At 50.3% G+C, this 24,550-nt stretch overlaps 1 protein-coding gene across 12 annotated transcripts in view, besides 1 other annotated feature; it reads right to left on the minus strand.

Moving 5' to 3' along the window:
• ZFAT (zinc finger and AT-hook domain containing) overlaps positions 247-24,550 on the minus strand; it is a 354,552-nt gene continuing 330,248 nt past the window's right edge. For 10 of the 12 annotated variants that reach the window (NR_110323.2, XM_047422062.1, NM_001174157.2 and 7 more), the window contains one exon: positions 247-1,180. Coding sequence is in view for 11 of the 12 variants with exons in the window: in XM_047422062.1 (XP_047278018.1) it covers positions 941-1,180 (240 nt within the window). In the remaining variant the exon portion in view is untranslated. Of the gene's footprint in view, positions 1,181-18,555; positions 24,427-24,550 lie in introns of those variants that run through there. The other 2 variants (XM_011517206.2, XM_017013716.2) reach the window with 2 other exon arrangements.
• Positions 22,967-23,478: an enhancer, noted in NCBI's record as "NANOG hESC enhancer chr8:135512751-135513262 (GRCh37/hg19 assembly coordinates)". NCBI's record gives its function as "activates a minimal SCP1, AML or CMV promoter by ChIP-STARR-seq in naive H9 embryonic stem cells {active_cell/tissue: H9 hESC(naive)}" and the evidence as "EXISTENCE:reporter gene assay evidence [ECO:0000049][PMID:30033119]".

Here is a 24,550-nt window from a genome sequence, read left to right on the forward strand (position 1 = left end):
ACACAGTGGACAAGAGGGCACTGCCACTTCTTGGCTGGCAGCAAATCAAATGCTGGGTGCCAGGAAATGGAAGGTGAGATCATTAACGTCAAAAGGTTTCCAAAGCAAACCTAAATGCAGAGGAAAGAGCACCATCTGCATTTTAAGGGCCTGGGTTTGGATGGGGTCCTTCTGGGTGGGCCCCAAATCCAAGATTTCAACTTGGGAAGGGGAAATGTAAGCCATCCCGCCTGAAGAACCAAAGCATTCAGACAGGAACTGTTTTTATTCCAACCACCTCACCTCCTTAGAATGGGAGGCGAACAGTGAAATAGTGCATTTATCTTAAAAGTGAAATAATTCCAGGATGGTAGGGCGAGACCCTGTGATGGGTGAATTTACCTCACTTGATACCAAGGGCCCTTAATACTCGGGGAAGTGGGACTTTGTCGACAAAGCCAGGACAATCCCCCTACCCCCACCCCACCCAGCAGTGATTAAAAACCCGTACGGTCACTTTCTATGTGATGGCTGTCTCCCTCTCACCAGACTGCATAGCGGTTGCAGATGAACATTTGGCACCTAGATGGGGGTCAAGGAGCTGGGGCTGTGATTCAGGGAAGATGCTGAGGGGGACTGGGAGTCTCTGTTTGAATCTTGAAGCAAGGGGTGAAGGTGTGGGGTGTGTGTAGGGGAGCTGACACTGAAGTCTTTCAGGAAGCAGATGGTAAGGGTCAGGGGGTGTGTGTCTATGCTGGGGTGAGGGTCCTGTGGTATTGCTGGTGATGCTGACTGCCTTGCCCACCCCAAGTTGGACTAGGAGAGTCCTATCAGGCTGCTGGGCAGGGAGGGCAAAGGAGAGCACCATTCTGCGGGTAGGGCAGGAAGGGTGGCCTCCCCACCCTGGGTGCCTGCAGAGCCTGGCAGCCCCGCCCTGTGGCCATCCGATGCCACATGTCCTCTAGAGTTCCTGGGCCGGCTGCTCCACAGCCTGCTCCTCCACAGGCTGCATGGCCTCCTGCACGTAGACGATGAACTCCGAGGCCTCCCCGCCCTGCGTGTAGACAGTCACCGTCTCAATGCCCTCCACGTCGTCGGAGGACACCACCAGGTGGTGCTGCTCGGCAAGCTCCACGGACGCTTGCTGGACCGTCTCCTGGATCATGACCGTGTGGTTGGAGCTGGGCTCCTCCTCGGTGACCTGCGGGAGGAGGGCAAGAGAAAGGTCACCCAGCGCCTACTTCCCGGTCCAGCGTAACAACAAAGTCACAACTACAGTTTAGGAGGCACCAGTGCGCTGCGGGAGCACGTCCATTCTCCACGGATCCTCTCTACCAGGCTGTGCTTGCTCTCATGCCCATTTTACAGCTGAACAGAATGAGGTTCAGCAATGTAGGGCAACGTGGTCAGGGTCCCCAGCCGTGGCAAATGGTGGAACCTAAGTTCAAACCCAGAGTCCGAGGTTGTTTCTGATGCCGAGCTGCTTCCCGGGGCTTCCAGGAGGTGTGGGGTTACCTAGAGAATGAGGGCTGGAAGGCATGGTGGGGGTTAGTTACTGCAGGTGTCAGTGGTAGGGGTTGGCGGTGCTCCTGGAAATTTATAGCTGGTCCATCTGGCAGTGATAAAGGCACTACGTCTATCCTGGGCTCTCTGTGTTTCCACACTCAGGGAGCTTGCCTCTGTGTGAAGATCTGTATCACACTAGGAAGGAGCAGACGCCTGGCAGGCCTGATTTTCCCCAGGTGTCGTCCGTCCAGCAACACTAATGCCTTAACTATTTGGGGGAAGGCCTGCTGGTGGAAACTCACTGCCACAGGGCTGGACAGGAGAGCCTTCTGGGTATCCGTCAGGGGATGGGACCTCATGGATTCTATGGCCAGGCCTTTCTCTGAAGCTCCAAGCTGCCAGATTCCAGGCAAGACCAAATGCCAGCTGGTGCTAATATCCCACATCCCTCATGCTGCCAGCTCTGGGCTGTTTTTAAATAACAACTGTCTTTGATCTTGAGATGAGAAACAAAAGACATGGAGTTGAGACCTTAGAGCTGCAAAAATGAGTGAAGGATTAGAAAACAGGCACAAGAGGAAAGCAAAGGGGCCTGGAATTATCTAGCTGGAGGATAAGAGAGTCTTCAGACTTACAGAGGGGTGTCAGGGACACCCATTCATTTCCAGGTGAGTCTGAATGGCAAGGTGGGGAGAGCACGTGCTTTGTCCTGCACTGACCGGGCTTTGAGCATCAATTCCACCATTTATAAGCTACGAGGCCTGGGCAAGACACTTTTGCCCACAACCTTCAGTCTATTCATCTGTAAAACAGGGACTAAAATGTGTTCTTCAGAGGATTCGTGGGAGAATGGAAGGAGATTCTATATGCAAAGTGGGTGCTCAATAACAGTACTGACCTTTTAATCCCTTCATTCAACCACACTTTTTTTTTTTTTTTTTTTTGGAGACAAGGTCTGACTCTGTTGCCCAAGCTGGAGTGCAGTGGTGCCATCTCAGCTCACTGCAACCCTGCAACCTCTGACTCCTGGGCTCAAGCCATCCTCCTGCCTCAGCCTCCCAAGTAGCTGGTACTATAGGTATGTGCCACCACACCCAATGAATTTTTGTATTTTTGGTAGAGACAGGGTTTCTCCACATTGCACAAGCTGGTCTCGAACTCCTGAGCTCAAGTGATCCACCCACCTTGGCCTCCCAAAGTGCCGGGATTACAGGCATAAGCCACTACACCCGGCCTCAACCACACTTTCTTAAATACCTGCTGCTGCCTGGAAAGTATTCTAGCATGTCAATCACTCATTCTTTCACTCTACAGAACTTTTGTCATCTTACCAGCTACCAGTAGACTGCAAGCTCCACAAGGGCAGGACCATGTCTGCCTGGTCACAACTGTTTCCCCAGAGCCAAGCTGAATGCCTGGCACACAGCATGTGCTCAATATTTACTGACTGATGATCCACTAGGTGTCAGATGCCACGCTGTGCACTAGAAAACCACAGTCCTCTGAGGAAGCCGAGTCTCATGTTGCAGGCACAGGGCACAGTGAATGACTGTGCTGTGGAGTAGCTGGGCTCTTGCAGGGGCAGCCTATGCCAGTTGGGGTCCCAGGAGAGGCATAGAGATGGGCATAGGGACTGGGGAGCCATGACTCCCAGGAGGTGTAGGGAGCAGCAAGTGTGTTCGGGCAGCCTCCATGAGGTCCCACTCACGACATGTCCGGGTCCTTTCCTGGCCTGCAAATTGGCATTGGGTGGCCTTCTACTCCCCACCTCTTCTGACTCTGCACTCTCTCTGGGGACGGCCCAACTGGCTTGGAGGGTCTCATCCTGACCCTGTGATTATTCCAGTCTCCATGAGTGAGAAGGGCTGTGTCAAAAGGTGGGTCATGTTTAATTCAGAGAGAAAAATGGAAAAGGTTCCTCTGGGGTGAGCTCCGGAGGTTCCAAAATTATGGATTGGAAGGAACTTTTGATTTGGACTGATAGAATTCACCCGGAGCTGGAGAGCTATTCTGAGTGGAAACTATCAATACATTTAGACTGATTTGTTTTTTTAGAGTGAACTGAGATCTGTTTTTTCATCTTTTCCTATTTGTTTCAATTTCATTTAACTGGGAAAATGTACCATGAACCAGGATTTTAGAAGTAAATATTAATTTATTTCACTTTGCAAGAGAGAACCTGACAGAAGACTGGGAAAGGGAAGGCAACATGCAGCTAATCTTTTCTCCTCTTACCTGTCAGTAAATGCCACACAAAGGAAAGGGTGAGGGGATGGGGATGGTTTACTCCCAGGTCCCCAGGGCTTCACATGTGCAAACAAGCCCTCCACACTTCAGGTAAACAGACCACACACAATACAGGGAGACAAACCCATCCATGAGCTTTAACACAGGCTCTGGGTCATGGCACCATTCTGTGGACATAGTGACTGCCACCGAAGCGAACCCTAAAGAGGACAGTGACTCCTTCACTGATGGAAATTTTCCACTGGCTAAAAACTCCCACCCTTTAAAAACACTAACACCACAATGCCCAAGTATGGACAGTGGCTGAAATCACTGCCAAGGACAAGGAGAACCACGCCAGGACCAGGCCTTTTAGGGGCAGCGGCTGCAGCCTCCTGTCCCCTGGCAGCACAGGGGACAGACTCCAAGTTCTCAGAACCAGCCAGGAGGAAGCAGGAGTCCCTCGCTGGCCTGGAAATGGCTGCTGCCCATAGACGCCGCAGAGGAGGCCAGCGTGCCTGACCTGAAGGTAAACGATGTGTTAGTAACTCTGCAGCAGCAGCGCCTGGGACCACTTCTTGGAAGGTGGCATTGGCCACAGAGGGTCTGTGGTGGGAAAGGACATCACAGGCGAGAGAAGAGAGTGAGCAAAGAACAGGCGTGTGCCCTACAGCCCGACCAAGGCCACCGGCCACCTCCCAGTCACCAAACCCACTGGGCAGAGTCCCATTTTCACTCTTCCAGAGCGTTCTCTACCATCCGGCATGAGACGCTCTTCACTGCTTTCACCACTCTCCTCCCCAGCACTGGGCTCTGTTCCGCGCCCTCTCCCAGACTGCAGGGTGGCTCACTGCTCTTCTCCTTCTGCCCATCACTAAGCCTGGAGGATTCCTGGGTCTCCCACCTTGACTTCTTCTCTGACCCCCCGGGCACTTTTACTCCCGGCTGAGCCAGACTCCAGCCACCACTCCTGAGCTCCAGATCATACCTCCGTCTGCAAGTGGGAGGCGTTTAGGGATGTCTGTCAAACAGTGCATGAACAGGGCTGTGCAAAAGTCACAGGAGAGAAGGCATTTGGGGCAGAAGCAGCAGATGAGGCCTGAAACGAAGTTCGCAGGCGGATCTTGAAAAGCCTTGGTCATCAGCTGACAGATTGAGCCTTTATTTTACAAAGGAAGGCACAAAAGGTTTTCAAAGAAAGGCCCTGCGTCATCCAATCTGTGACATTTATGAATCAAAACTTGCCCAACATGAGAAGCCCTCCTGAGAAGTATGCCTCTCTCATTAGTCCTCTAAATATTTATTTATTTGCCCACAGTATCTTTTCTAAGTATTAAATCTATTTAAAGATAACCTTTCTCCATTTATTTTGTTTTGCTTTTTCAATTTTTAGCCTCCAGGGTTTGTCCAACAGAATCCCCATGAAATTCATCCACTGCTAATTATCAGAGTACAAAAAAGTTTTCCAATGTCATTCTTTGGGCTTAATTCACCAGAAAAAGCGATGGAGGCAATGGTGATGTGTATTTCCCAAGTCCTGCGAAGAGCAGGCTTCCTGGTGTGCACAAATGTGACAGGGAGGCACGCTGTTGCCCTGTCGTGTTACTGAGCGTCCAAGACACGCAGGGTTCCTGAAGGTCCCCTGCAGCCTCCTGTTGGGCCTCCTTTACACTCTCCCCAGTGTTCACAAGTGGCTCTGCTGGCCCTGCAGACGCTGCCCACACAGATGTCCACGTCACAAAAAGCTAACGTGTAGAGAGGACGAAGGAGGGAGAGTGGGTTGCTTTACAGAAGGGGTTCATAGGGCTTTCTGCAGAGTGCACCCCCTTTGTGCATTTCATGGTATATGATCACACTCTGTTTGCTTTTATGCAGTTTTTACAAACCATGCACCTCCTTCCTTGCTCCCACGGCACCCAATATCCACCCAGCCATTTGCAGTTTACTGAACATTCTCCCATGCCTTGTCCTGATTCTTTACACACAATGTCTTATGCCTTGGGCATTTGTGTTCCCATTTTACAAATGGGGACACTGAAGCTCCTCCTGGCCTCGTGACTTATGTAAGGTCAAAAAGCCAGAAAGTAGCAAAAGCTGGAACTTAGTCTGGGTGGTTCAGAGACCTCCTTCAGCTGGTGTAGTGTGACAGCCACTATCAGGATCCCATGTTATGGGTTGATATGATTAAATTATCACTCTTTACTCCTCCTGATTAGTCTCAGGCTGGCTGTAGAACTCTCAACCACTCTCTTTGTTCAAAATAATCACTCTAGTCGCTTAATCTATTAGCACAGGCTTAAAATTGTTCTTCACCACAGAAATAATATGGCGCTCACAGTGTCATTATCCCCTGAGATGAGTACTCCATTTTCCCCAAATGCCGTATCTAACACATCTATCAGAGAAATTAGCAGCAGCATAGATAGCTCGATAGAAACCCTTAACCCCTGGGACGCAGAAATCATTCACTGAATCAGGCACCGTGTTCTGCTGTTCCGCTGTCTCCAGTGTTCTGGAGTCTGGACAAGATCACTGTCAGGACCGGCACTTTGCTGGGCTCTCTTCGTGCTAAAAGGCAGCTTCCCCTTGAGACCCCATGTCTTCCTTGGCTTTAACCCATCGTCATCCATTCATCCAGCAAACGCTGATGGATCCTCTGCGGTGCGCCAGGCAGTGGCTACGGCTCTGGCTGCCTCATTGTCTCACTTTCTTCCTACTCCCCTGCCTGTTCTGCCTTCTCCTTCTCCTCTAGCTCCTCTCCTCACTTCCTTCGTAAAACCCATTCCTCTCAGGTTAAGCTTTCTTCCCCCAACATTTAAGAAAATCCCAGAAGTTCCTCTAGCTCAGGACACCCTCCTTAAGGAAGGTGGGTCCTGCATTGCTCCCACAGGGCTCCAAGGGTGCCCCGAGGAGCCAGTGCACAAAGGCTATTACAATCCACCTCTGCACAGATCTCCCCAGAAGCAAGCACAGCACCGGCTCCTCTGTGCCCAGTCCAGTGCCACGCTCTTGGTAGGCACATAGTAGGTGATGGTGATTTAGGCTGGTGCAAAAGTAACTGCAGTTTTTGTACCAACCTATAGCTGTAGAACTGCCCACATGTAGAACCTGTAAGTGATGATAAAGAGAACCATCTGGAGCAGCCATGGACTCCAGGGCCAGCTGCTGCCTGCCCTTGGTTCAAACTCTGTCTGGCAGGAGCCCCCCAGATGATCTGAAAGTAGGGAAGACGGTGCATTGTCTATGGAGGAGAGTCCCTTTTGGCTCCAAAAGTCCCAAAGGTCCAATCACCTTATTCTATGGAAGGGAAGTCAAGGCTCAGAGAAAATAAACTACCCAGGGCCACACTGCTGGAAATAGAGCACAGATTTTTTGACTTCTAGTCTGCAAAATTCCCCAGTCTGCATGAGGCAACTTCACACCAAGCCACACAGCACTTTGGTTACTGGGAGAACAGAGCCAGAATGTCTAGCATGGCACCTGGGCAGGGGCGAACGCCAAGTAGATTTTCCCCGGAATAACAATATTATTTATAATAGTTGTAGTGATTATTATTATTTTGAGACAAGGTCTCACCCTGTCACCCAGGCTGGAGTACAGTGATGCAATCACAGCTCACTGCAGCCTCAAACTCCTGGACTCAAGAGTTCCTCCCGCCTCAGCTTCCAGAGTAGCTGGGACCATCCTTGGATGAACAAAGAAAGCAGTAAACACACAATGATGATGATGATGGAGACATCATCATCAGGACAGATCTAGGGCTCTGAGATTACAATCTGGAATGATAAGAAGTGCTTGTTGTGGGTCAGGTGCTGTGTGAAGAGTCTACGTGTATTAGGTACTTAGTCTTCACGGCACCCTAAGAAGTCTTAGTGTCCTAGCTTTAGAGAAGAGGCAGACTCAGGGGAGGATGACAAGCTGCCCTGGGGGGCTCTGCCCACCCACTGGGTCCTGGGGAGTTATGTAGTTGCTTTCCCCCTGCTCCGCCTGGCCTCTGAGCCTGATGGTCCCAGCAGCCAGGCCACTGTGCACAGCTGTGGGCTTGGCCAAGCAGGAGGCTGCAGTGTCAGGGTCCACACAATCTTCTTGATTTTCCCATTGGCCTCCTGCATTTGACCCCAGCACAGTCTTTTTTCATTCCTCTCTTTCCTCTCTAATGAGAAGACACTGATGGACTCCTCTGTCAAAGTACCCTCTGCCTGGGAAACATGTTCTCAAAAATGCCCGGAGGCTGGCTGAAGCAGGAAAGACAACCCCTCCTCATCTGACACACGTTTTCTGGAATCCTTGACACTGATGGGGAGGTGTCTTGCCAAACAGGAAGACTGTGGGGAAGGCAGTGGCCCGTGGGGACACTTGACCTTAGTGTATAACCTGGCCCACAGCCTCTGAAACCCAACTCCCTAACATAGGTCTTTCTGTGTCAGAGGCTGCACCAACACCCCTCCCCAGGACATTGAAACAGCCCCAGGACACATTCAAGGACATCAAAATATGACAAAGACTCATTAAGAGGAGAGAGCTGAATCTTATGGCTGAATCCCACAGAGGTAGCAACAAGAAAGGGAAAATGTTCTTACTAGCTGGGTATTTAAAGTAACAATTGTTTAAACTGCTGCTGGAATACGATAAACACCACAAATTCGCATCACAGCTTTCAAAACAGGGTGCGAAGAACCTCCTGGTGCCCGAGTTCCCCACATGCCTGTGCAGAGGGCTGGGGCCGCCTTCCTGTTCAGTCCTGACAGGGGATTGGAATTTCCAGGGTTTCATCAGACCACGCAGAACCTACCAAATTATTTGAACTTAGCTCTCAACACATAAATAAGTGATGAATAAAGGAATTTAAAATAAAACCCGTTGGCCCTAAAATGAAAAACCAGAATGACAGTGGGATGGCATCAGTTAACCCCTTACTGGGTTTGCATCCCTTTGAAACAAAGCTGCCGCCAACGCAGCTGCCTTTAGATGCTGCCCACATTCCCAGTGCCCTCCCGCAAGCCTGTGCCCTCCGTCAGGCACTGGGAGGAAGATGAACTGCCTTCACTTCGGGAATTCCAGCTGGGTGGTCTCTTTAGGACAGGAATCATCCTTTATGTTTTTCAGGGGAAAGAAACTCCACCGACACCTCTGTCACCGTCGCCACCACCACCAAGAGGTCATTTCGCTTCAGGCATCCTTCATGTTTCAAATCCATTTTTAAATAAATTGAATCAGGTTCCTATTTATTAAACCATGTCTTGGAGAACAGCCCTCTCGTAGATGTCATTAATGTCCTTGAAAGGGAAGGCACCCGGGGTTGTGGCTCAGGAAATGAACAGAGAAGCCACTCTTTCTTCTCCTCTTGTTGGCACTCCTGTTGTTCTCAGGATCAGTTCTCAGAACCTGCTGGGAGGCAGCCCCAGATCCAGATCCAGCCTTCCGTGTTTCAGGGGAGGAGGACGGAATGCAGAAAGCCACCAGGAGAACAGAGCCACTGTCAAGATCATCACCACAGAGAATGTAGTGAGCACCACGATGAGCAGGACTTGATGAGATCAGGCATGGGAGAGGCAATGATGCAAAGACAGGAGCCAATCGAAGGCTAGATGCAGGCAGTGTGCATAGGGGTGAGGGGCGTGTGTGAGGGTTTGCTATGTACACGTGCATGCCTGTGTGCAGGAACATGGGTGTGCATGTGTGTATATGTGTGTTCATGTGTATATCTGTATGTACAGGTGTGTGTCCATGTGTGTATATGTACATATGCATGTATATGGGTCTGTATGTGTCCATATATTTGCATATGTCTACGTGGATATCCATGCTTATGTGGAGGTTTATGGGTGTGTGTGTACATGAATATTGTGCACATACATGGATGTGATATGTGTGTATACATGTACGCAGGTATGGGCATGGCTTTGTGTCCATTGCTACACTTGTGTATCTCCATCTTTAAATCTCAACAAAGGCCTGCAGGTAAAAGACATCTCTCCTGGCTCATGCTTCCTTTCCTTCTTTCTCTTCTGTAGCCTGTGACACTACTTGCCCCCTGGTTTACAGTCACTTCTCATAATGACCTGAAAAGGTAGGCCCCTCCCAGTTTACAGAGTGTTTGTGGATGCTATACCTCCTGTAATTCTCATGGGGCCCTGTGAGGAAGGCAGGGTGAGGGGATTCCCATCGCATCCCTTTGAGAAGGGGTGGCTCAGAGAGTCGATGTGAGCCCTCAGCTAGTAACAGGTGATTCTGGAATTTGAAGCCAAGTGAAAAACCTCCAAAGCCCACAGCCTTCTCTATAATATTCACGGCTTCCTGTAACCTTCAAAAGAAAAGCCAAGCTCCCCTGTTGGACAGGCAAGGCCCTCCCTGCCTCACTCCTTCCCCCACACTCAATTTTGGTTCCTGAACACACATGCCCTCTCGCCTCTGAACTTCCAGCTGTGCTGGTCCACCATCTTTTCCCAAAGATCCCTTCTTGCCCTTGAGAACTCACGTCCATGCCCTCTCCTCCAGGAAGCTCCGTCAGTGCCCCCTACAACGCTGTGCTGACTCCTGTTAAACACCAGCAGCACTGGATCCCAGCTAGCACTTCATGCCGCTCTGAGGAGGTGCAACCTGTGTCATGCTCTCCCTCGCCTTCCTGGCACAAAGGTGAACAGTGAATGCTGCTTCTCGAATGAATCACTGGGATAAAGAGTGCAGAGTGGAAGTCTTGCTCAAATCACCACCAGATGAGGCACAGCTGAAGAGGAGGGAAGACGCCCCACCAGGACTTGACCTCCGTACTGAGCAACCACAGGAATAAGAGAGAGTTAGAGAGCGAATGAATGCAGCAAGCCCCAAGTAGGGTAGCTCAGGCACTGCGGTTCCAGGGGGACGTCTAGGGAAGAGTGGAGGTCTGACTTCAGGAGGCACCTCACGGCCCAGATGCTACTCAGTGGGGCCTTCATACAGGTAAACGGCACCCCCATGCTGGGCATTCGGCGGCCCTTTGCTAATGAAGTTGGCAGATAGGCAGGTTGGTGCAAGTTTGCTGGGGCTGGAAGTGACTGAGAAAGCAGAAGATGGATAGAAAACAAGGCTAACATGGGGAACAGGTGTGAAAGGCCAGTGCTTGTGCTGAGCTGCTAGACTGGAAAGCTGTCACTCTCCTTGGGTGGAGTTAGGAACGTGAAGTTACATAACATCAGCACCTGATTTGCAAGACAAATCGAGGTGGCCTCTGTGTTTAGACACCGCTAAGAGATGGGCCATTTGTTGAATAAGCCATCTCTGAAAGCCACCCACTCTCTGCTTTGGAGTGTCACATCTCTCATGTGTTCAATTCCCACATATACTTCAGACAACTTCTAGGCCCTCTCTTCTGTCCACTGAGAATTTAGCATGTGTCAGATGCTCTGGTGGAGGCTAGAAACAGAACCATGAGGCCAGATGCAGTCCCTGCCACCAACAGGCTGCAGTTCAGGGAAGAAAAGGACAGGGGGCTTGTCCTGGGTTGTCAGGGTCGGGGGAAGGTGGGGTGGGAAGCAGCTGGTGGCCAGGGATGCTTTCCTGAAGATGATGACACTGGTCTGTAACACTGTGGGATTCCTACGAGTCTGAAGAATGGGAGGAGGTGTAAAGAGATGGGGAAAAGCACCGGGCAGAGCAAAGGGTGTAGCAACAGCCCAAGGGCTGGACAGATGCAATGAGATTCAGTATATCCAGAGCACAGAACAAGATGCAATGAGATTCAGTAGAGCCAGAGCACAGAACAAGTGGGGGGTGGGGGTGGGGAAGAGATGAAACAAAGAGGAAAAAAAAAAAAAGACTAGAGAGACCATCAGGAACCAGATCATGAAGGATCTTATAGGAATTTTAGTTTTACTCTAAAATTAATGGGTGCCTCTCTATTAGACAGCAGAGACCTGATCAGACCCCCAAGCTCACTCCCCTGAGGTGTAGGAGGGGACTATGGGGAAGAGGAGGCAGAAAGCCTCCAGGTAGGGAGGCCAGGGACAGTCTGGTATCCCGTGAAGAGGATGGGCCTGAACACAGCAAGAGGGTGCAGTGATGGGGGCCAGCAGAGGAGCCTCTATGGTCTATCTGAGCCCTGCCCATTCCCCCTCAACCCATTCTAGGAGGCTCTTAGGCCCAGTGCTCCCCAGGCCTGCTCTCTTCCAGAGTGCAGTGACTGCCACCCTGGCCAGTCCGACCCTCACAGCTCAGTCTGCACCTTGCTCGGCCTCTGCAGCCTCCAGCCCTCCCTTGCTCCTCTCCTGGGCCATTTTCTTCACTTGCCCCACAGCACAGCTCCCTCCTCAGCGTCCTCCGTCCTCTCTGGCTGTTCTCTCTCCATCTCTGCCGCATCTGTCTCCGCTTCTGGACCTCTAAGTGGCATAGGGCCCCAGCGTTCAGCCCCAGGAGGGCTCTTCTCTCTCCACATCCCCTCCTTCCATCATCTCCGCCAGGCTCATGGCTTCAAATATTGTCTTCAGGCTGACAACTCCCAAATGTATGTCTAGACCAAACCCTTCCCCTGAAATTTAAATGTGTGTAGCATATTTCCTACTAGACATATCCATGTGGGTGTCAAATAGTCATTTCCAAGTTAACAAAGCCAAAATGGAACTAGTCACTTCCTGCCCACCCAACCTGCTCCTCCCTCCTGTCCTCTTCTCGGTAGAAGGCACCACCATCCACCCTCTTCTCAAAGCAAAAGGCTTAGGCATCAGCCCAGATTCTGCTCTTACACACACTCCACGTCCAAAGCATTGCGGGATCTGTCAGCTCCACTGTGAAATGCAGACCAGAGCGCCCCAGTCCTCCCCTCCCCAGAGGGCTACCCCGGCCAGGCCACGCTATTTCTCACTCTAGGTGTGACCACAAGAGCCCTTAAGCGACTTCTTAGTTATGTGGAACAGCATAGAAGTCTGTGCCTCAGTTTACCACCTAATGCCACAAACATAGATGGGAGACACAGAATCTGAGAGTAGAACATGTTAAAGAGATCCAGGGGTTTGAGGTGACACCAAGATCAAGGTGAGTGAATGGTGAGCGTGGTCACTGTAAAGGCAGCTTAGAGTTCACTGAAAAGAGGGACAAAGTCCCATCCCAATCTCTTCCAACTGTCGTCAGCTTCAAACCTCCCCTGGAGTCCATGCCTGGGTTCAACCACGAAGAGGACTAAAGACTCATCAGTCAACATTCCAAGAAGGCTGACCAGTTCTAGAAAAAAATGGCTGGGGTACTTGGCGATGTCTGGTCTACAGAATAGAAGTTGCAGGGCCCAAAAGATGCCTGTGCCTTCAAATACACAAGGAGCTGTCACATGAGGGGCCATCAGATGTACTGCTGGTTCTGGCAGGGGCCAGAGCTGACAGAGGGGCTACGGAATACAGCGGGCTGCTGTCTGGAATTGATATAACCAGCTCCCCATTACTGAAGTTATGCAAATAGCTGCTCCAAGACCATCAGGCTGGATTCTTCCTCAGGATGGACACTGAAATTAACAGGAGAGTCTGCCCTTTACCCCTCCCTGCATTCCTAAGTCCATAAAGCAGGAATTCTCACCCTTTCAGAAGTCTGAGAGGCAAGTCCTGCCTCCCAACTACCCTCTCACATCCCTCCCTCAGAGGGTCTGGAGAAGAAACCCAAGCCGGTGTCTTGGCCTCCTGTCTGCCTTGCTGTCCTCCCCCTGCCTAGAGCTCTCCTCCACCACGCCTGAAGCCAGTGCACCTCAGCGGCAGAACCCTCCATCCCTTGTAGAGATCTTTTAGAAAGCTGCAGGTGTGGGCAACAATGCATCAGAATGTCCCTCACAACCAAGAATTGTTCTGTTCTCACCATGACTTCTAAATTTTTCTCCCAAACAGTCACAAGGATAAAAATAAACAATAACAACAACCTTATTTATGATGATCTGAACCTAGAACCTAACTGTTTCACATGTAAACACAGAGTACTGAGTCTGTGTGCTGCATTCTTCTAGAAATACAACTTCTGTTTCCAGCAAGGGAAGACTGTACTTCATTTGCTCTACGAAAGCCCTCCGGCATCAGCGATGCTGCTCACACTAGTAGTCTCACCCTCAAGTCACAATGTGCTCTTGGCCTGTGCTTGTGGCTGGTGCACCCAGAGTGGACACTACGCTTAGGAGAAGGCACCTGACCACATTGTTAGGTTTTTATTTCATTTTCTTATTGTTGCTTTAACCAATTACTAGAAATTTAGCAGCTTAAAACAACACAAATGTATCATTTTTCAGTTCTAGAGTTCAGAAGTTTGAAATGGGTCTCACTGAGCTAAAATCAACATTTCAGCAGGGCTGTGATCCCGGCTGGAGACTTTAAGAGAGAATCCACTTTCTTGGCTTTTCCAGCTTCTAGAGACCCCTGCATTCCTTGGCTTGTGGCCTGCTTCCATCTTCAAAGCCAACGACATTTGGTGGAGTCTTTCTTACGATGTCATCTCTCTGGTTCTGACCCTACTGCCTTCCTCTTCCCCATTTAAGGACACGTGTGATCACACTGAGCCCATGTGCATAATCCAGGATAATCTCCCCATCTTGGATTCAGCTAATTAGCAACCTTAATTCCCGCTTGCCATGTAAAACTTAACATATTTGTAGGTTCTGTGGATGAGGACGTGGACATCTCTGGGGCACCACTGTCCTGCCAACCACTGTATCTTGGTATAGTCATGTCTGAATATTAAAATACTCAATTTTTTATTTTATAATTAATAACTTTCCATTTACTTCTTGTTATTTCAGTTAGGACACTAGAGTTTTTTTGTTTTTGTTTTTGTTTTTTGTTTTTTTTTTCAGTCATGCATGTGTAGGAATCTATGAATTTCATTTCAGGTGAGTAAAAGGAGTGTTATAAGGTAGTCATTATTCAAGGGGAGTCCTGGGTCCATCGGGCTGAGACTCCACGTGCTACGGCAAGCAACTGCCCTCCTAGGAAGAGCTGCCCTGCTGTTGCCCAGCCCTGCATGTGACTAGATGGCTCAACTGGTCTCCAATTCCTCTTCCTCTCCTGTTGTTCTCATTACCATCTGATTCACTCATGTCTTGTTTCTCAGATGCTTCCATACCTCGAGATCAAAGGAAAGCGTGCAATTCATTATTTCCTCCCAAATGGCCAACATCTTCTATGGTCCCTTCCACTCAGAAATTCGTAGACTCCATGTTATGGTAAGAATTAGAGGACTGCAGACAAAAGTCCAAATACAACCTAACAACAAGAATGAAAAAAGAATCTACCTGCAGTCGATTCTTACAGGTAGAATATTCCCCTGTGTGTGTTTAAGCTCTGGGGAAGAAGCCTTATTTTTTCCAGGGATTAGGGCTTCACTCACTGCTTAAATTATAACCAAGCAATAGCTTCCTTTTCATTCTCAAAAGGGGGACTGGCAGGACCATTTTACAAGGTTAACAAGTAAGGACATTTGCTTTCACAACCCTAGGTGAAGAGTGGAGTTGTATAAGTCAGAAACAAAGGGAAACAGCAAACACAATCCTGAATTTATAGAGGAAAGAAAATGCATAAATGAATGTGGTTTGTAAAAAACATCATAAATTCCTAACTCCAGAAATATATACCTGCACAGGACAAAAAGAAGGGTGTTCTGAGGGGGCAATATGTGCAAGAAACTTGTGGAAATATCAGGAGATATTCACAGGCAGGAAGAAGCCATTCCATACATCAACGGAGATTTAAAGCCTTTTAGGGAGGAAAGAATGCACAGGAAGTGAGGAAGGCCATGATTCATCCCACTGTCAGGCTAGACACCTTTCATGGAGGAAGACAGTATAATGCTGCCTCTCCACCCTATTTTTTGTCTTGGTTGTAAGTAGACAGCAGACATATTTTCTTTCCCGAAGGTATCAATCCCATGCACAGTGCAAAGCCTAAGCTGTAAAGGCCACCTGCTAATGGCAGTCACCACCCATTTCCTGTGTCACCTGGGTCTCTGCAACACTGAGACTCCACTACCGGCCAACACAGCTGCAACCCTGTTTCCTAAGCCCCAGGCACTGGAGAGCTCTGCTGCCACCTGCAACACGGACTTGTCCACCAGGTCCCTGGGCCTGAGGGGAACGGGAAGGGCCAGCTCTCTTCATTGAGAGAGAAGGGCCTTCGAAACAGGCTGAGAGGAGCAATGCAGGCTTCCTGGCCTCAGTGCTGTAAGAAGAGGATGAAAAGGTTTCCATACTGGCCAAACCAACTCACTGGGCAACAGAAAGAGGATGCCCATGACTAGAACATCTTGTACCTCTTGCATGTCTCGGCAGTCTAGGCATTGCTTAGTTTGATCTGAATAATCATTTGACTAGAAAAGGAAACCTTCTCTCGTAAATTGTGGGAAACTAGAGAGCTCCACATGGTAGAGAGAGTGCATGGGAATGAAGAGACGGCGGGGCAGGGGGCAGTGCCTGGCACAGGGCAGGTGCGTGAGGCACGGCACTCATGACTGCTTCTGGATGCCGGCCCTCCTTGGAGGAACGGTCTGCTGCCCCCTTCCCTCCCCGGCTGAGCCAAGCTCCCATGCACTTAAGCTGCTGCCCGTGTGCTTCACATATCCCCTCCACACCATCATGCCATGGCCATATGGCACCCAGCTTATAGTAGGCACTCAATAAACACTGAATTGAATTATTCAAATGTGGACCCCAGGAGATATTTCAAAGCTGTGCTAAAACAGTTCAGAGCAGATTCACTAAGAAAGGGAAGGAGGCAGGCAGAGTTCCCCCCTCCTCACAAATATCTTTTGATATTTAGACACATTTATTGTGCATAATACTTGACTTTCTTCCCCTTTAAGTGCACATACACTGAATCTCTATTTGATTTAGTGCCAGGCCTGGCGTGGCAGCTCTACAGCATTGCCCGGTCCTCACACAGGGAGCACTCTCTTCCCTACACATTCTCCTCCCTCCACACCCCTGCCTGGTGATCCCTGCACAGCTGTGCGGCTGTTGGGGTTGGGCAAACCTTTCAGCTTTTTCTCACCCAAGTCCCCTCCACTGTACTTTAGGAGTAGTTTCCTTTGTACATTTCCACCTGCCTGACTTTCACAAAATCACCCCCGTGACCATCCTTGCAGGCCCCGGCCTTTCTCTTTGCTGGTGGCTTTGTCAGCCTGAAGGGCAGCAGGTGCTCGATAAAGCTGCGGGGACAGGATCGATCCGCTGCCCTTTAGTGGGCCATCTCGAGGACACTGTCTCGGTGCCTGCTGGGGAAGCGCCTGGCTCCTTTCCTCAGCTGACGCACACTCTTCTCCCCCTAATTAAGCAATCTGCTTCCACTAGCAGTTTCTTTCCCAGTACTTGAACATGAGTGACCTGAAGCCTCCACGGAACCCCACCAGGGCCTTGCTGGTAACCGAGCAGTGAAGGAAAACGGAGCTGGCAGGACCCAGGTCGTATTCCTCCCTGGATAACCACAGAGCAACAGCCCTTGCCCAAGGTAGAAAAACCAAACTCCCAGGAATAAAGTGTTTTTATTTTTTGTTTAAAATATGTTTATCATAACAAAACATAAACCATTTAAATCACTCATCAAACTTATCGAGGTAAGTTCATTAGTAGCAAGTACATCTAAGAACAGAAAAAGAAACTATCTCTTCTTGTTTTGAGCACCAGTGAAGCTTTGACATTCACCCTACTGGTGTTGACATGACAGTCTCCGATCTTATGCTGAAACCCCAGAAAGACACCAGCTCCTGCTCTTCAAATCCACATGACCCACGTACTTCTCTCTCAGAGTAGGAAGATCTACTTAATTCTACTTAATTCGACTCTCTTTTGGCCTGGTCTTAAGTCTCTCTCACACAGAACCACCACCTGCCCAGCTCCCCTGACTTTGGGCAATGTCCCTCAGCATCTGCAATTCCAAAGCAGCCTGGTCTCAGCTCAGGCTGCTGTCACAAAGCAGCACAGGTTGAGTGACTTATAAACAACAGAAATCTATCTCCCATAGTTCTGGCGGCTAGAAGTCTGAGATCAGGGAGCCAGCATGGTTAGGTTACAGTGCGGGCCCCTCTTCCAAGGGCAGATTATTGACCTGTAATTGTGTTCTGACATGGTGGAAAGAGAGAGATCAAGCTCTCTCCTCTCTTATTAAGGCACTCATCGCATTCATGGGGCTCCACTCACACGACCTAATCATCTCCCAAAGAACCCATCTCCAAATACCATCATTTTGGGGATTAGATTTCAATCATATGAATTAAGGGGGGAACGTGAGCATTCGGTTCATCATCATGCCTCCCCCAGGGCCTCCTCTAAGGGAATTACTCACAATGACTCAACAACTGGAGTTTGTAAGGGGTCAAATGATTTTGAGCCACAATCATGTTAATTTGTGTAACTATGTGTTTACCTCCCTGGACCAAGCAATAAGCTCTGCCATGAGAGGTGGTACCTGGCACAGTGTGGTGGCTCACGCCTGTAATCCCAACACTTCAGGAGGCCAAGGTGGGCAGATCACTTGAGCCCAGTAGCTCGAGACCAGCCTGTGCAACATGGCAAAATCCTGTCTCTAGAAAAGATACAAAAATTAGCCAGGCACAGTGGTTCATGCCTTTGGTCCCAGCTACTCTGGAGGCTGGAGTGGGAGGATCGCTTGAGTAGGGGAGGTTGAGGCTGCAGTGAGCCATAATCACGCCACTGTACTCCAGCCTTGGTGACAGAGTGAGACCCTGTCTCAAAGAAAAAAAAAAAGTTGGTGTCTTATCCACCCTGGACTCCTGATGCCAAGCATAGAGCCTAGACAACACCAGCATCAGCACTCACCTGCTAAATGGAAGCGACCAGAAGCAGAAACAGCTGTGGCTGAATTCTACATGCACAGTAAGAGGAAAGGAGCTATGCTGTTTCCATGATCACAGGAGCTAAGATTTATTGACTCAGCCACGTGCCAGGCACAGGGCCAGTGGCTTCATTTTGCATAATTAGGTATAATGCATACAACAGCCCCTTGGAGTAAGTTCCATGATCTTCCCATTATACAGATGGGGAAACACAAGTTCAAAGAAGAGAAGTGTTTTGTCCAAGGTCACACACTATTATGTGACAGATCCAACCCAAACAGTCTGGCTGTCTTTTAGCCCCTTGCTACACCACTGGCTGTGCCAAGGACTCCTCCATCCACTGTGACATGAGCTGGGGTGACTCCCATGAAACGGGCTTCTCCAGAGATAACCCGTTGTGCTGTCCATCCGGGGCAGGGGAGCTCTGTCCCAGAGGCCTGCAGCTCCTGTGGTAGGGTATGCACTGCCAGCCTGGAGAGCATGAGGCTGCTCAGCACAAGTCACACCCAGGGCAACTGGGCCCCACTAGCTCAGCTTCCCAACATCTGATCTGGAATTCACGGTTTTGAATGCGTATGAAGCCTCTAAAATGTACCAGGCCCTGAGCCAAGTGCTAGAGATCCCAGAGATGGGTGAGACCAAATTGTCACCTGCTCTCATGGAGCTTCCAGTTTGCTGGGGGGAAAAGCCATGTGTATAACCAACCACACTAGATATGGTTTGTGACACAGTTCCTAAGAACTGTGACGGGGTGAGGGAGGGTACTCCTCCCCGTGGCCCCATCTTCACCACTGCCTGGAGAGGGAGGAGAGCTTCTGCCCCTCTGAAAATATTCCCTTCCTAATTGCCCCCTCAGGGCAGGAAGGACCTGACAATCCAACAGCTGAAGCTGACCACCGGGTCTAACCTGATGTGTCCTAACGGGCAGGGGTTATCCTGACATGCAGGGACCCCCGCCCCCATAGGTCGTGCTCCTTCTTGGAGTGTTTGCTTTTATGCAGAGGCAGCTGCTCCCGGATCTTGCGCCTCCCACAGTCAGCACGGGCGGGGTAGGTCTTCTTGAAACATCCCACCATGAAGCAAGAAGGAAAGTGGAGGGAAAGAGGTGGGCACCTTGCTGTCAGGCCTGGTGGGCGATGGAGAGCTTCTATTCTAAGTTTACTGGAGACGTTCTGAGTTATTGGAGGATTTTAAAGTAAGGGTTGCTGTGATGTAATGATACTTCTAAAAGATCGCCCTGGCTTCTATGTGAAAACTGCATCTCAGAGCAGCAGGATGGAAAGAGAACAGCATCCTCTGTGAGCCAGAGGAGGGGGACTGACAGCTGAGAACAGGCTTCTAAAATTCTAATGTGCAGGATGCCCCTGCTGCTGGTTACACACAGAGCCTGATTTGGTAGGGTTGGGGTGGAGCCGTGATGCCCCTGCTGCTGGTTACACACAGAGCCTGATTTGGTAGGGTTGGGGTGGAGCCGGGATGCCCCAGCTGCTGGTTACACACAGAGCCGATTTGGTAGGGTTGGGGTGGAGCCGGGATGCCCCAGCTGCTGGTTACACACAGAGCCTGATTTCGTAGGGTTGGGGTGGAGCCGTGATGCCCCTGCTGCTGGTTACACACAGAGCCTGATTTGGTAGGGTTGGGGTGGAGCCAGGATGCCCCCGCTGCTGGTTACACACACAGCCTGATTTGGTAGGGTTGGGGTGGAGCCGTGATGCCCCTGCTGCTGGTTACACACAGAGCCTGATTTGGTAGGGTTGGGGTGGAGCCGGGATGCCCCAGCAGCTGGTTACACACAGAGCCTGATTTGGTAGGGTTGGGGTGGAGCCGGGATGCCCCAGCTGCTGGTTACACACAGAGCCTGATTTGGTAGGGTTGGGGTGGAGCCGTGATGCCCCTGCTGCTGGTTACACACAGAGCCTGATTTGGTAGGGTTGGGGTGGAGCCAGGATGCCCCCGCTGCTGGTTACACACAGGGCCTGATTTGGTAGGGTTGGGGTGGAGCCGTGATGCCCCTGCTGCTGGTTACACACAGAGCCTGATTTGGGAGGGTTGTGGTGGAGCTGGGATGCCCCCGTTGCTGGTTACACACAGAGCCTGATTTGGTAGGGCTGGGGTGGAGCTGGGATGCCCCCGTTGCTGGTTACACACAGAGCCTGATTTGGTAGGGTTGGGGTGGAGCTGGGATGCCCCCGTTGCTGGTTACACACAGAGCCTGATTTGGTAGGGTTGGGGTGGAGCCGTGATGCCCCTGCTGCTGGTTACACACAGAGCCTGATTTTGTAGGGTTGGGGTGGAGCTGGGATGCCCCCGTTGCTGGTTACACACACAGCCTGATTTGGTAGGGTTGGGGTGGAACTGGGATGCCCCCGTTGCTGGTTACACACAGAGCCTGATTTGGTAGGGTCGGGGTGGAGCTGGGATGCCCCCGTTGCTGGTTACACACAGAGCCTGATTTGGTAGGGTTGGGGTGGAACTGGGATGCCCCCGTTGCTGGTTACACACAGAGCCTGATTTGGTAGGGTCGGGGTGGAGCTGGGATGCCCCCGTTGCTGGTTACACACAGAGCCTGATTTGGTAGGGTCGGGGTGGAGCTGGGATGCCCCCGTTGCTGGTTACACACAGAGCCTGATTTGGTAGGGTTGGGGTGGAGCTGGGATGCCCCCGTTGCTGGTTACACACACAGCCTGATTTGGTAGGGTTGGGGTGGAGCTGGGATGCCCCCGTTGCTGGTTACACACAGAGCCTGATTTGGTAGGGTCGGGGTGGAGCTGGGATGCCCCCCGTTGCTGGTTACACACAGAGCCTGATTTGGTAGGGTCGGGGTGGAGCTGGGATGCCCCCGTTGCTGGTTACACACACAGCCTGATTTGGTAGGGTTGGGGTGGAACTGGGATGCCCCCGTTGCTGGTTACACACAGAGCCTGATTTGGTAGGGTCGGGGTGGAGCTGGGATGCCCCCGTTGCTGGTTACACACAGAGCCTGATTTGGTAGGGTCGGGGTGGAGCTGGGATGCCCCCGTTGCTGGTTACACACAGAGCCTGATTTGGTAGGGTCGGGGTGGAGCTGGGATGCCCCCGTTGCTGGTTACACACAGAGCCTGATTTGGTAGGGTTGGCGTGGAGCTGGGATGCCCCTGCTGCTGGTTACACACAGAGCCTGATTTGGGAGGGTTGGGGTGGAGCTGGGATGCCCCCGTTGCTGGTTACACACAGAGCCTGATTTGGTAGGGTCGGGGTGGAGCTGGGATGCCCCCGTTGCTGGTTACACACAGAGCCTGATTTGGTAGGGTCGGGGTGGAGCTGGGATGCCCCAGCTGCTGGTTACACACAGAGCCTGATTTGGGAGGGTTGTGGTGGAGCTGGGATGCCCCCGTTGCTGGTTACACACAGAGCGTGATTTGGTAGGGTTGGCACGGAGCTGGGATGCCCCCGTTGCTGGTTACACACAGAGCCTGATTTGGTAGGGTTGGCATGGAGCTGGGATGCCCCCGTTGCTGGTTACACACAGAGCCTGATTTGGTAGGGTCGGGGTGGAGCTGGGATGCCCCCGCTGCTGGTTACACACAGAGCCTGATTTGGGAGGGTCGGGGTGGAGCCGTGATGCCCCCGTTGCTGGTTACACACAGAGCCTGATTTGGGAGGGGTGCGGTGGAGCCAGCGACTCTGCATTTCTCACAAGCCCCCTGATGCTGACACTGCTGGCCGGGGGACTACGTTTTGAGTAGCAAGGGCTTAACTGAAGGCGGTAAGGCCGGGGGCCAGAGGGACATTTGAGGCCCCTTGTGAAGCAGGAGGCCACCACATGTGCTGACAGGGCAGACGTCCGGTGGGAGAGGCAAGGAGGCAAGAGGCCCTCCACCAGCTGGGGACACCAGATGGATAGGAGGAGTAGGAAGGAGGGGGACACTAAGAGTTCTTGTTTCCGGGAATCCCTCCGGCCAGGATGGAGACTACTGTTCTGGTGGGAATGAAAAACAAGGGCCAGCCTGAGGCAGGACAAGTCTACAGAGGGCCCGCAGCGCTCTCCTCCATATGCGGGACAGCTCTGCCTCACTCCCGTCAGGGCTATTACAGCCTGGCCTTGACCCCAAACTTGAAATAGACCAAGTGATCTCAGCCAGCAAGGACAACTTCCCAGGGTGAAGCTGCCTGGAGGGGAGATGTCAATTAAAACCGACCTGCCTTGGCTAAGGACATGGGTCAGGAAACAGGCACCAAGCAAACAGTAATAAACTCAGCAGTATTAAAACTCAAATAAAGTGGGATTCTGCAAATAGCACCAACCAAGGCTGTAGCTTCTTGGGGCATAATAACAGAAAGATGGGGACTTAGGAAAAGGAAGAAAAGTGAAGTTGGATAGATGAGCATACTCAGGTTAGCTAAGGATGGCTTGCATGGGAAAAAGGCACCATAATGAAACAGAGAATAACCTTTGTTCTCTATGTTTTCAGACCATTTCTCATATGGCCACAGATATATCATGGGGCCTATTTTTACTTTAAAAATTTCACAAAGAAATGGAATTTTCTGTAACTACTATGGTGTAAGAGAGCTCAGCAAGTAACAAAAGAGCTTTGGGAAAGGATGCAATGTGGAGTAGCAGCCATCCAAAGTCATACCAGAAGCAGAAGTCTCTGAAAAAAGTTTTAGTTAAGACAAAGAAAAAGAAAAGGTTCAAACAACCACAGGAGAACTAGGAAAGGCCTACAAAGGACAAGAGCTGGCATTAAGTGACAAGGGAGAGTAACCTATTGCCAAGACTCTGAATGAACTTTTTGTTTCTGAATCTACATGCTAAAGATCACCATTCCGCAACAACAGAAAGAACATTATATAAGGAATGCCAAGTATGAGAACACTTTTAAGAGGCTACCTGCATGTATAATTAGGAGTTTCATACAATTAAAGTTGGCAGAGGCCCGGGATCAAATAAATTGCACTGCAGAGTTCATTAGGCAGGAGCCTAACCTCACCAACCAACAAAAGCGTGCAGCTGAAAAGTGGTTGTCATTACAGTAAGGGCTAGGATATAGGGAAAAAAACAAAGTCATCAGTGAGACTTCAGTATTTTACAAAGATCAAAAGGACTTGGCATTAAAAGATAAAAGTGAAACCTGGATTATAGGTATCTATTAGAAATCCTGAGCATATGCCTAAGAATCTAGTATTAGATCATCTGAGGCCTAAGAAGCACACTGGGTGCCTATGCTCTCGGTCCTGGAGATACGCAACCAATTTGCCCGCCTACAGAGGACACATGCAATTCTCTTGCCTGGGTCTTCCACAGGCCTTTGAATCCATCGTGACTCATTACACTACAGAGGCTGCAAGGATGGAGTGGGTGTGACATCCAAATACAATGAAGAGTAACAGAAAATACAAGCAGTTATGGCAGATGGAAACTGCTGTTACCATCAATTCTTTTACAATTATACATACTCTTAATCTTCTTGGAAGGATTTGATTCCTTAGATGAGCCACAATAATGACAGAAAAAAACCGTTACGGGAAAGTGGAGTAAATGATACAACTGAAGATGCTAGGGTTCCATTACGGTGCGAGAGAATACAGGTCTGCTATTGTAATGTACCACACACGCACAGGCAAGATGAAATGAAGTCAAAGGAGGCTTTGAAGGGGAAAGGTGAGTGGAAAGAAAAGAGAAAAGCCAGCCAGTGACTCTCCTTTTATCTGCACTGTGAGAATTGTGTTGAAGTTAGGGAGAGACTTGTTTATAGTAGAAGTCAAAAAAGTGCCTCTGTGGGAACAAGAAAAGGAAAATTCCATTAACTCACCAGTTATTCGAGCTTAGAGGGTAACAGAAAAATGGGATGGACTTCACTCAATCCTTTTTGTGGCTAGGATTAGAGAAGAGATCTCATCTCGGTCCCACTTTAAGACAATTCAGATGGCCAGGCTCTCTTACACCACAATCTGTAAAGAGTTAGAAGAGTATCTTGCACCAATGTGGTTCTTCTTTCAGATCTTTTGCTGTGTAGCTACAATCACAGTTGTAGAATAGAGCGCTTGTTTTTAAAAGTAAAAATAAAAATAGATT

Source organism: Homo sapiens, chromosome 8 (assembly GCF_000001405.40).
Source record: "Homo sapiens chromosome 8, GRCh38.p14 Primary Assembly".
Taxonomy (NCBI): domain Eukaryota; kingdom Metazoa; phylum Chordata; class Mammalia; order Primates; family Hominidae; genus Homo; species Homo sapiens.